Source organism: Homo sapiens, chromosome 9 (assembly GCF_000001405.40).
Source record: "Homo sapiens chromosome 9, GRCh38.p14 Primary Assembly".
Taxonomy (NCBI): Eukaryota; Metazoa; Chordata; class Mammalia; order Primates; family Hominidae; genus Homo; species Homo sapiens.
The window spans coordinates 7,120,694-7,134,204 of record NC_000009.12 but is presented as its reverse complement, the minus strand read 5'-3'; the positions used below and the strand labels follow the sequence as shown (position 1 = coordinate 7,134,204).

The 13,511-nt window shown below is 40.8% G+C and overlaps 1 protein-coding gene across 18 annotated transcripts in view; it reads right to left on the bottom strand.

Annotated features, from left to right (window-relative positions):
• The window catches only part of KDM4C (lysine demethylase 4C), a 454,786-nt gene that overhangs the window by 41,444 nt on the left and 399,831 nt on the right, over nt 1–13,511 (bottom strand). For 16 of the 18 annotated variants that reach the window (NR_148680.3, NR_148679.3, NR_148677.3 and 13 more), the window contains one exon: nt 5,969–6,139. The exons of the other annotated variants lie outside the window; for them this stretch is intronic. Coding sequence is in view for 12 of the 16 variants with exons in the window: in NM_001353999.3 (NP_001340928.1) it covers nt 5,969–6,139 (171 nt within the window). In the remaining 4 variants the exon portion in view is untranslated. The remainder of the gene's footprint in view (nt 1–5,968; nt 6,140–13,511) is intronic. 18 annotated transcript variants of the gene reach the window in all.

Sequence of the window (13,511 nt, the reverse complement as noted above, 5' to 3'; positions counted from 1 at the left end):
GAGAGAACCCTAAAGAGTGAAAGGCCATGTGGGCCATGCCTGCAGACCTCTAAACCAAAGAAAGTTTCCAAAGCCTTCTCTGGCAAATGTCCACTGATTCCAAAAGAACCAGAACTTCCTGGCAGGGAGGGGGAGAGGGAAGAGGAGAAGGGCAGCCCTCTGGAGCACACATAACACAAATGGTCTGGGATGGGACAGGGCTTCCAAAGCTGAGGTGAGCTCACTGACAAGGGGTATCTGCCAATGCCATATATGCATGGCTACCTGACCTGAACATCTAGGACACCTCAAAATCTAGGAGGCAAGAGGGATCCAACAATGTTTCCCGGGATCCCACAGTAGAGAACGTTTCTGGGAACAACTCTGTTCTAGTTTCTCAAACCCACTTGGATATTTTCTTTTGCCTCTGGAATACCCAGATCTCTCCTACACCTATGCTTGCCAAGCGAGGGCTTGTGCGGGGCTCAACACTGAAACGGGTTTTACACCATGTCCTACTGGATCTGTGTTTTCCCTTAGAGCAGGCACAGCGTCTTCTACCTCAGCTGCACTAAGCCACAAAGAGCAGAACTTCTAAGGCAATAAGCAATGGAACAAGGGGACTAACCTGCAATCAGGACCTACCTCTGTCACCGTGTATTTTGAGGAGCTTTTGTGCGACTTGGCAAGTAACACGTCTGTGAAATGAGTGTGAACTTACTCTGGAGCAGGGTTTGTTACAGAAAGCCACTGAAATAACACTGAAAAAATACACTCAGAAAACACAAGCATAAATGTAGGGAACTAGGCTATTATAAAGTCTAAAAGATGCTGGGACTACCTTATAGCAAGTGGGAATGATAAATGGACCCAGCAAAATCTCACAAGTACAGGTTCTCATCTAATCTGACAAGTAGGCATGAAGTTCTGAGGACACATCTTCTAACTCCAAATTTCAAGACCAGAAAAGGTTAGTATAAACTAGATGGGAAGGAAAAAGAAAAAAAAAGTTCTACATACTAAAGTTAATATTCTAAAAAATTGGACTTTTCCTACTATATGTCAGGCATTTAGTTTATTTGCTCCTTTCAAATTAGTAGGGGAAAAAAACTGGGGCTGGAAAATTTAAGCAAACTGCCTTTATGTGAGAAAAAAACATTGGCTGCAAGAACCTCAGTTTGCATTGCACAGCCCTCAAAACTAAAGGCCATAACTACTCACCCCCAGAATCTTGAAGAGTATTGTTTTCATGCTTCTTTCACATTTCAACCAAAGCTGAAAAATGTAGCCAGTCCTCATGGAAATTTCAGTGATGGACTCCTGCTATCAAATTTCTAAATGGTCCTGTTTCTCTTCTCATGCCCAGTGGTGAATGTTAAGTGAGAACTCAAGTGTCCACCGTACCATTCTCCTCCCTCAAAGTGAGCTCAAAGTTCAGAGGAAAGGAAGCAGTCATCACTCTACTGTAAACAGGTGCATGCTAGAGGATCCCAGGTTTTGGCAGAGGCTAACAGAGACCCTGGAATCTTTATGCTCATTGAGTACTTTCAGGTGGGCAACTTTCATGCCCATCAAAATAGTGGAAGGCAAAAAAATTCATCAGAAGTGTGTCCCAATTTCATAGACTGACAGATGGAGGTGTGTAATAATACACCTTTTATTACTTCCCTTGACAGCTACAGATTGCATGTGGAGTTTAACTGGGCTGATACACACATTTTGCAGGTGCATTGTTGAGAAAGAATTTTTTGCACATTTTTTCTGGCTAGCACAGAAATAAAGTACCTAGGTAGGGAAAGACATTTCCTGATAGTTCAAAGAGCGTTTCTCCTTACTGCTCCAAATGCTCTCTCCAGTCACATAACGCTAACGTAAGCATTTTTAACGCCTGCCAAAATTCTCAAACATGGATAGGCCAGCCTGCATTAAAGGATTCTCATCTGTTGGGTTTATGAAATGATTTGTAATCATCAACTCTATAAATATGGGAATGTAACTTTCTTTACTAAAGCATCAGGCTCCATAAGGGACTCTATTTGTGTCATACATAGATAAATAGCTTGGGATGATTAAACTTGATATCCTAAATTTGATTTTCATAGGAAACTGAAATTGCACTGTACCCTTAAAGCAGTTCTAGTTAACCAGTACCTGAGGCTTAGAGAACTAGTTCTTCAGTAGCCAGTAACATTGGGGTCACACTACATTTGATGAATAATTTGATGAATAATTCTTCCCAGTGGCACTCACATCTGATATGCACATTGTGTGGATTAGAGAGTTTTTGGACAAACAGAAGAAAAACATCATTTTCTACCACCAGTTGCTCATGCTACAGGTATATCACCTAATGAAAACAAGATTTCTCTGAGGAATGTGAAATGTAGTTAGTGTTTTCACCATATAATTATTCTGCCACGATCTTCAAGATACTGAGACAGAAACAAACCTGATTACATTTTTTTTTTACGTCCTGATGAAACTTTCCATTAGGGTACTGAGCAGGGTACCCATCTCCCAGACAACAGTTCTGATGTAGATGAATTATCAAAAGTGGAAGTGGGATGATCTTAGCAATTAAATCCATGACTTAAATAATGGTGTGTGGGGCTGGGCACCGTGGCTCATGCCTGTAATCCCAGCACTTTGGGAGGCTGAGGCAGAAGATTAAGTTGAGCCCGGGAGTTCAAGACCAGCCTGGGCAACATGGTGAGACCCCATCTCTACAAAAATATCTTGGGACTTCTCAGCCTCCATAATCACAGAGCCAATTCCTTATCATCTCTTTCTACAAGTGTATCTCCTATTGGTTCCGCTTCTCTGGAGAACCCTGCCTAATACAATATTATAAGGGGAAAAAAACTTCCCCTATAGAGTCAGCAATAGTGAGCTGAGGAAGCCTCATTCATCACCAAAGTAAGAGAGGGAAGAGGCTACAGCAGCTAACAACGGTGACACTGTTAGAAAGTATATGGAACTTGAAACACAACACGATTGAATTATTCCTACTAGGAGCCTGGAACGGGGAACCAAGAAGGCAAGAGATTAGGATATTGCAGTGGGGAGCACAAAAGGAGGAAAGATCAGACAAAATAGAGAAGACCTGCACAAAGATGAATTCAGTTTTTGTTTTGTTTTTTTCCTGAAGAAGTTATTAGGCCAATGGCAGTGGCTCACAACTGTAATCCCAGCACTTTGGGATGCCGAGGCGGGAGGATCACTTGAGCCCAAGAGTTTGAGACCAGCCCGGGCAACGCAGTTCGACACCATCTCTACAAAAAAATTAAAAAAAAAAAAAAATTAGCCAGGCATGGTGGCACAGGGCTGTGGTCCCAGCTACTCAAGAGGCTGAGGCGAGAGGATCACCGGAGCCCAGGAGCACAAGGCTGCAGTGAGCTGTGATCACACCACTGCCCTCCAGCCTAGGCGACAAAATGAGGCCCTGTCTCAAAAAAGAAAAAAGAAAAAAAAGACATTACTATTCACCCACATTTAGATAGATGCGTCCTTTCCAATCTATGTGAATTCATGCCACTCCATGGTACCTGCCCCCCTCCAGGGCAACAGTTGTGGCCACATGGGCATATGCAACTGCTGTTAAGCCTCAAATCCTTATCAAAAATGCTAAGTGACAGCTAACCAAGCTGTAAAGAGTTTTGCTTTTTCATTCTCATTGATTTAAATGGCATGCGCTCCAGAAAACTCTTCTGCGGGTTAGCTTCTGTGTTCTTCTCACAACACTCAAGTGTACTTAAAATCATATTTGTTCTGGTTCACAGAGGAAGGAAATGGAGGGTGTCAAAGGAAAGACTTGCAGGATTTCAAACATTACAGGATCACAGACATTCTTTTCCAATGTAAAGACATTCCAGGAAAGCCTCAAACTGGCATGGTGTGTATAGGCTTATGATGTAAAAGAGAATTTAGGGTTCATTAATTCCTATCATGGCTAAAGACCTCACTGTTTTACCTGTTTAACTGTGCTCAGGTTTTGAAATTAGTGCTCAGAAGTCTTTCATCCCACCACCACAGTGTTCCTCACCAAAAGGTCTTCTGTCTTTTGCCAGCTCAATATTCACAGTCTTCACAAGAGAAGGCTAATTCTGAAACAACTATGTAGCCTGCACAGGGCTGGTGAAAGTCCAGGGGCCTCATTCTACCAATGGCTTTTCATGCCTCTCTTGCTCCTGCATATCCCTTCTCCTATTGCTTTAAATGTCCTTTCTTCCCCAGGGTTAAGAGTGGAAGTTCTAGAGACGGATTACATGTAATCAAATACTGTTTCTGAAACTTCTTAATTATGTGTGACCTTGAGACAATTATTCACCATGTTGTGCCTCAGTTTCCTCAACAGCAAAATGTGAAAAATTATAGTGCCTAGTGTGTAGGGTTATGAGGATGAACTGAGTTCATGGTTCCAGTTCTTGGAGCAGTGCCTGGAACATGGTAAATGTCAGTAAGTGTTACTTATTCTTCCAGCCCCAACAGGTGGTAGATTGCTTGTAGTTCAAGTATAGAACCACATGGGTTCTAGACATGGGTCCACGGTAGAGAAAGCATCCATTTACCCGCCTACCTCCCACCAAGACTGAGCAAGGATTACATCTTCTTTCTCTTTATGTTTCCAGCACCTAGTGTGGTAAGTAAGTGACACACAGCAGGTATTCAGTGAATGCAGATTGAGTGCTTGAAGGGATGACTAATTCTAACAAGGGGAGTATGTCACCTAAGGGATGCTGTTTATGAATAACAGTGGCAATGCAGTAAAGGGAAACTCCAGCTAGAACCCTGGTAAGAAACACAATTCACTGTTCTGGGATTTTTAAATAACTTACATTCATTTGCTTTAAAATCTTTCAAATAAGGTCACTTTTGTTTATATACTTGCCATTCTTACCAGCATAGAGAGAGGTAAGTATAACAAAACTAACTGAATCAATGTTTCTTCAACACCTGGAGACCAAAATCCTAGAAACTGTCTTTAGCAATTTCAAAAGGTTACATTTAATTTTCAAGTGCACATAATACACAATTATGACTATTAAAAAGTCGCTGAAAATATCTTTCCAAATACAAACAAAAGCAAAGCATCAACAGAGACCCAGAATGAGGCAGAAGTGATGACTACATTATTAAGGGTCAGCTCCCCAAACTCACACACCCCCCGAAAGGAGAAGGGATAACAGGATCAGCACCAGACTAACTCACTCTCCTCTCAGTCACGAGATTTGATTTCGGTGTCAAAAAAAACCCTCTGTGGAAAGTGCTCTTCTTGTGAAAACACCCTTCTAAAAAGCAAGCCCTGAAACAAAGTCAGTCATTACCCTGGCACACGTTCACTAGTTCCTCAGAATGAGCCCCAAGGTGTTTGCTGAGGGGACAGAGGAAGGAGGAGATGGAGACAGACCAACAAGACAGCCAGACACACACACACGCGCACGCACACACACACACAGAGTTCTAGTCTCCGCCACAGTAACGAAACTACTTAAATGCCACAGCCTTTCTTCTGTGTGACTTTTGTTACTCCCATGTGGAATATCCAAAGATTTAAATACACTGTCGAGTCAGATTAATCAAAGCCACATTCTCTAGTTAAGCATAAAGAAAAGAAAGTCATAAAAGAATTCAAATTTGTTCACATCTTGTAACAGGAAAGAATAGGTGGATTCATATCTGCTATGGTTTGAATAGGTCCCATCCAAAATTCAGGTGTTGCCAATGTGATAGTATTAACAGGTGGACCTTTAAGAGGTGATTAGGTCGTGAGGGCTGCTCCCTTATTTCTTGGCCAAATAACGTTTGGCCAAAAAAAGAATGTGGGAAGATCAGTCTAAGTTCACCTGGATATTATTTAGAATGATAAAGTCTATGAACCAAGTGAATGAGCTACTCAAAAAGCCAAAAGAAAAATTCTGAAGGGCTCAGTTACTTTGGTTTTTTTTTTTAAATTACTCTGGGTAGCAGGCACTCAAGGAAGCCTACTTACCACGATATCCTCAGGAAATGTGTCTCTGCTAAAGGAGCCATCATCAAACATGACCTCATAGAAGGTCTGCGATGTCACAGCCATCACTCTGCAACTGTAATACCGGGTGTTCCGATGCTTCGTGATGACCGTTTGACCCACGGAAATGACCTTCTCGCAAGCCTTGGACTTCTAAAAGAAGGGACACAAAAAAGGAAGAAAAGAAGTAAGAGAACAGGAAAAGAAAGGACGTAAAATAAAAAATATTCATTTGAAAAACAATCATTTATTTGGCCAAGATTTAAAAAAAAAATTTTTAACTTAATATTGAAGAATAATTTCAAACTTACAGAAAAGTTGCAAGAAGACAAATAGTATAAACACTACTTGTTTATACTAACACTCTTTACCCAGGTTCATCCATTGGTTTTGTGTGTGTATGCATATACAAAGAGAGAGAGAAAACAATATGTATGTATATATATACACACGTGTATGTGTATATGCAAATATATCAACTTCAGGACACTGAACACTGATAGGATACTTTAATCTCCATCTATACTCCAGTTGGTCAAATGATCCAATAATGGCCATTATGGTATTCACCTTCCCTACCCTCAAACTCCCAAGCACAGAATCCAGTCTAGAGTCAAGTATTGCATTTAGTTGCCACACCTCTTTAGGCTTCTTTAATCAGGACCATTTCCTCTGTCTTTGTTTATGGTAGTGCTACTTTGGAAGGATACAATTCTTCCTCTTCCTGCTTTTTAATAAAGCATGTGTCTTAAGTTTCCTCATGATTAGATTCAGGTTATACATTTTTGGCCAGAATCCCAAATAGGTGATGTTCTCTTGTTCTCAGGATATTCTGAAGGCACATGATGTTTGCTTACCCCTCAATGATAATGTTAATTTTGATCCTGATCAAAGTATAGTTCAATTTCTCCACTTAATTACTATTTTTCTATTATACTAAAGCAATCTGTGAAAGACAATTTCATCAGTATGTAAATGTCCTGTTCCTCTTAAATCTCTGTTTGGAATTAGTGTCCGTTGAGTTTTGTGCATAATCTTTACTGCAATGGTGGTGTATGCTGATTTTTCCTGCTCTATCACCCATCCACATTTATTACTTAGTTGACATTTGGTAAGCAGGAGTCTTCCATATTTCCCTGCACCCATCCATCCATCCAACCATCCATCCATCAATCCATCCATCCATCTTTCCTTCTATCCACCCATTGTCATTATGGGCTGATGAATTCCTCCTCCCCAGTTGTTTATAGTTCATACTTTACTTTATTATTTTGGTGTTCAAACTGTCCCAGATTTGACCAATAAGAGCCCCTTCGTACTGGTTCTTGTGATCTTTCTTTCTTTCTTTTTCTTTTCTTTTTTTTTTAACAGCAGTTCTTTACTATCTTGTCTGATAAGATGTTTCAGGATCATCTTGCACCAGTCCTGAAATTAGCCATTCCAGGAGTATGGTTCAGTTTAGAGGGGCAGTGACATTAGAAACTCAGATACAGGTGCTTAGGTATGCTCTTATTAGAGGAGTATCTTTGATTCTCAACCTTTCCAGTAGATGGAACAATGAAATACATGCATTTAACATGTGCACATATATGTGCATAAATACACACATGCGTATATCAATTTGCCACAAACACACATATATTGGAAATCACCAGTTCAGAGTGATATCCCTATTCATCCCTGCAGGTTCTTTCTTGCCTCCCTCTATTCCATATTTGTATCTTCATCCTTTTTCAGTGAAAACCTTGGCTTCTACAATATAAACCCATTTACTCATTTGCTCAATCCCTAAATACACCCAAGTAATTTTTAAGACCTGTAGAAGAGCTGTATTAATAGTTTTAGACTAGAAAAACTAACACAAATGACAATTCATTTTATTTTTAAATTAAGAATTAAGACTCAAGTTCAATTACCAGCTCATACTGACAACAGCTGGGTTGCAGTCCTTACCTAAGAATATGGGCATGAATTGTAGACTCCATCTTTATTTCATTTTCTCCCTCCCCCTCTTCTCCTTCCACACATATTCCTGGCATCCTAAAAAACCATGTGTAGGCCTCAGGGTATATACATCATGCTAAGGAAACAAGACTTAAGAATAAATGACTTCTCTCAGAAATACTCTGCAGAGTGATTGGCACATATTAAGTGCTCTAGAAATGTTAGTTTGTTGTCATTTGGGTTGTTTGTTTTGATTTTCAAGATAAGGCTATAGTCCCCGTTCCCCTTTCAGGAACTCCTACAAAGCCTGTACCTACTAGGAAGAGACTGCAGCCAACATCTAATGCCAAAGTCTGCTCTCAAGACTGGATCTTCTTTATACCAGCCTCAAAAGCTCAGGTATCAACTCTGATTTGTTTGATGTCATGAGCTCTGACCTGCTGGGAAGGCCCTGAACCAAGCTCATGGGAAGGTCCAGGCCTTCATAATCCCCAAGGGACCAAAATTAGCCTGACATGTCATCTGTACCTACAGAAAGCAGGGACTCATTAAACCCCAGTCTTTTCTTGCATGGATATTTAGAACACTCCTGGGAAATACAGTTTATCATCATCCAGAATCACTAGTCAATCAGAGGCTTTGCTTTTGTTTCCCCCGTGAATTTCAAAAAAGCTAAAACACCTTGTAGTGTACAGAGTGTTATGCTTATCTTTTTCTTCTAGAAACCAAACAAAGACATTCCCAGAGAGTCATTCATTCACTAATTTCCTCAACAGTCATTTGTAGCTAGCCAGTGGGCACCACATCTGATGTTGGAGAGTCAAATACACAAAACCACTAAGGCTATATTACTGTTTCCTGGAACAGGCCTACACAGGTATGTGCCATGAAGCCATCTCACAGGTGGCGTGAGAGAAGACTGATGGAACACATTCTAGCATGCCATCTACAGCAGGACTCCTCATTCCTGGGCTTGCAGCAGTCAGAATTAGGGGAAGAACACAATCAAGGACAGACAGAGTGACAGGCATGACCAAAGGCCCAGAAGCAGGAAACAGCCATTCTGTTGTGGGGAATGCAAGAGGTCTTGCTATGGTGTGCAAAGTAGGAGAAACTAGAGAAATGGCCCGGGGAGCAGGGGTCAGGGCACTGGGGGTGGGGGAGAACAGTTCTTATGCCATCCTAGGGAATCTAAATGTTATTCTGTGAACCTAGGAAGCCACTGAGGGGTTTAGATGTAGAAGACAGGTGATCCAGGTCTGTATGGCCATAGACAAGGGGCTGGTGGAGCTTAGTGCGACAGTATAGTGGGAGATGAGGGTCTGAAGAAAGGAACTGCGGACAAGAATGCTCATGATTTGGACAAAGGGGAAAGCCCCCTCCCAGCAAACATCTTCGTAAGGGTCTCTAACCATCTCTGTCATCTAGTGTCCCACACACCTGACAGAACAAAAGGATATTTCCCTTCTTTCCTTCCTGAAATCATTCCCCAGTGATTACTGGGTTGCTTGGGAAAATTTTCTGTACCTTTAGGTGTCGGTAGGTATGTAAACATTTGACAAAGCACAACAGTAAGAAGCCCGATTTAATTGCACTATACTTGAAGTAGAAATCTTTAACAGCTAGGTGACAGTATATAACATATACTGAAATAATTACGCAGTTTACGACTTTACCCCCATTCATCCCCTTTAAATATATCCAACCTTTTAAAGTAAGAGAGTGACTTGGATGTAGTAATTAATATGAGTGGAGGCACAGCATGCAGACTGATGTTGACTCCAAGATTGGGCCTGTGACAGCTACTTCTTACAGGTTACAACTAACTCTAGGAGGCCACATTCACAACCTGTGTGGCCACAGACAGTGGCCCTGAGTGATGTGGATTAGGGACACACACAGCTTCATCTTGGCAGAACTTTCTTGCAGATGTTGCCCTCTCTGTCAAACTGAAAAACAGTCATTGTCAGCATTACAAGCATTGTATTTTATTATGATATTAGTTATTTAGTGTATATTTTGTTAAAATTGGAAGTTGAATAAAAATTGTTTGCCCTCCAAGGGGACAATGTGTGGGGATTTGCATTATAAGCTGATTACTCTTACTAGCTGGATGATCTTGGGGGTGTTACATAACCCTCGTCAGCCTCAGTTTGGTCATCTGTGGAAGAAATTACACCTAAATCAAAGGGGTGCTATGAAACAGGATGAAGCACAAAGGAGGCCCAGCCTCATTGGGAGCAGACTCTCAGCAAATCCTAACCGGCTTCATCTAGGAAATGAAGAACATACTGAGACCTTCAGCTCAGGTGAGTCAACCACTTTCCTATGGTATCTGAGTCATTGGCATGGATGAGTGGGCAGCACCCTGACTTCTCACTGACAAGGATCAGTCCAGCCCCAAATCACTGCCAGGAAAACAATCCAGGCACCCACCCTTCACCTCACCCGCTCCAGTAGCCTCCGACTCTACTCTTGTCAAATTCAGGCACATGGCTATTGTCCCCAGGAAGGAAGGCATAATGTGGTCTCCTCTCCATCCCCAGGGCTCCCAAAGCCTTTGTTAACAACTCTCTTAAGACCCTGGCCACATGACTCTTTCAGTTACCATCCCTTTAATGACAGGGTAAACTCTACGAATCAGTGCCAGAACTTGTCTTTTTATCCACAGAACCCAGCACGGTGTCTGTAACACTGTTCCTGACAGATGAACAGTGAATGAATGAATGGATGGATAAATGAGTGGGTAAGTGAATAGGCACAGACAAACTTTCAAAATGGAAGAGGAATGAATTCTATCTGCTCCTGTCCAGAAAAGGGCAAAGAGAAGCAAAGGGGCACTGTAGAGTGATATCCCTATTTATCCCTACAGGTTCTGTTTCTTTGGTTTCTCTTTCTTTGGCTAGGTGTGCATGTATGTGGGTAGCGGAAGGGAATAAAGAAGGTTTATGGTGAAACTCACAGGGTCTGGAAAGTAGAAGAGGCTAGCCAAGGGAAAAGGAAGGTGATGCAGGCTTTATAAGGAAGAGGCTGGCTCCAGATCACAACCATTTTCTTCCTGCTTAGGATATGAAATTTATGCAGATTGGCTGGTTAGAAAAATGGCCAGTATATAAATTAAATACACAACCTTCATCTAAATAAAAATTCTCAGAAACTTCAGGCATGACCATTTCATGAGGAGTATTAAGGGAAATGGATTCTTTCATAATGCTATTTTGATAGGATTTCTGATTTATTTTTGCAGGAAAAATGTATTGACAAGCATACCCCATAACTGATTACATATCCTCAAAAATATTTCCTGTCAGAAAAGTCTAAGAATCTATTGATGTTAAGAATGTCATTTCTGATCAGAGAAGACAGGCATCATGCGAGGGCATCCATCAGATTAAAGAAATGGCTATGGTGTTCTGAAGATTAGTGTGTAAGCTAAGGCTGTAAAACTTGAATTTTCTTTAATATGAACTAAGCAGAAATGAACCAACAGTGGCTTAAAAAAATATACACGTCATTTTAAAAAATGGTAGGGCCAGTTAGAGATGCTGGGGACATGGCCAAAATGTTAAGTAAAAAAACGTTACAGACATTCCATAAAAGCATAAATAATTCCTAGGAACGATAACACATCTAGTTTCCAGCATATGTCCATATTCATGAGGTAATTAAATTCTCCCAATAATTTTGTGAGGTAGTTTTTATTTTGACTAAATAGATGATGTAACATCTACTGATACTCTTGACAAAGTCAAGTGACTTTTCCAAGATCTCAGAACAGTTTAGAAGTAGTCTAGAGCAGTGCTCTCCCATGACAGGTGATATGGTTTGGCTCTGTGTCCCCACCCAAAGCTCATGTTGAATTGGAATCCCCAATATTGGAGGTGGGGCCTGGTGGGAGGTGACTGGATCACGGGGGTGGTTTCTAATGGTTTAGCACCATCTCCCTAGTGCTGTCTTGTGATAGAGTTCTCACAGGATCTGGCTGTTTAAGAGAGAGAGAGAGAGAGAGTGTGTGTGTGTGTGTGTGTGTGTGTGGCATCTCCCACTGCTATCTCTTCCTCCTGCTCAGACCATATAAGATGAGCTGCTTCCCCTTTGCCTTCTGCCATGATTGTAGGTTTTCTGAGGCCTCCCCATCCATGCTTCCTATACAGCCTGCAGAACCATAAGTCAATTAAACCTCTTCTCTTTATAAATTACCCAGTCTCAGGTAGTTCTTCATAGCAATGCGAAAATAGACTAACACAACATAGGTGCTCCAGACCATCAACCAAAAGAATAAACATGGAAAGAAAAGGAAATAAAACCAACCAGAAAATAAGCATGGGAAAAAATGAGTGAAGAAATAAAACCAACCAGGAAGTAAACATAGAAAAACATGAGCAAGGAAATAAAGCCAACCAGGAAGTAACACCAATAGAATTCAAGCAGTGGCCTAAAGAAATTACATTTCCTTTTTTTTTTTTAAGCCTTCCATTGATTGAATGGAAGGTATTGTTCTAGATACTTGTTGAGGCACTTCCCATTTAAGATTTACTTACTTTCCCCAATATATCCACAGGGTTGGATTAGTAACTTGGATTTGGAGCATGTCTGGTGATAAAAATGCAGAATGTATATGCTCTCACTTTTCATCTACGTACACATATGTAAACACACGTGTACACTGTGGTAAATTTCCAAACTGCCCAAAAATCTTCACTCCTCCCCGTTTCCACATCCTGTGCATACGACTTTGTAGATCCTCCTATCAAGGACTGAAGTTTATTTCCCACCCTTTGAATCTGGCCTAGACTGTGGCTTAGCTTGCACTGGCCAAAAGAATATAGCAGAAGTAATGGTACACAGATTCATAGTCCTTCGTTCAAGAGGGCTTGAACACTTCTGCTTTCTCTCTAAGAACCTCAGACTCTGGGGTGTGAACAAGCCCAAGTTACCCTGTTGGAGATGAGAGATCACACTGACCACAGGCCATAAACCTGTGAGAGAACCCAGCCAAGATCAGACAAGCTATTCTGCAGCTGACCACAGATGCATGAGGCAGCATAGCTTAGACCAGAAGAACCCCTCAGCCAAGCCTAGCCTAAATTGATAACCCACAGAATCATGAGCTAAATAGTTATCACTGGTTTAAACCGCTAAATCTTGTGATGATGTGTCACTCACACAGATATGTATGCCTAGAAAAAAGGAACACTGAGAAAATACATACTAAAATGTTAGTGATGTATAACTCTGGGTAATGGGATTTATTTAGTACTTCTTTATGTGTTTCTCTGTATTTTTCATGGATTATATATTTAATAATTTCTGAAATACTACATATAAAAAACTAAGAGTCCTTCCAATTTTTAAAAATTCCTTAAATATCAGCCAGCCCATGTATAGTCAGAACTATTCAACTGATATGCTGAAAACAAAAATGAAAAACAGCTGACCAAGTGAGTTAGGAAGAAAACACCATCTCCAACATTTATTCTTCAGTTCAGTAAATATGATGTAAGAAAGACTTGAGAGAACGAACACTTTGTAAAGTGAAATGATAAAAATTTGGTCATAAAATTTCATCTGACTTACCTAC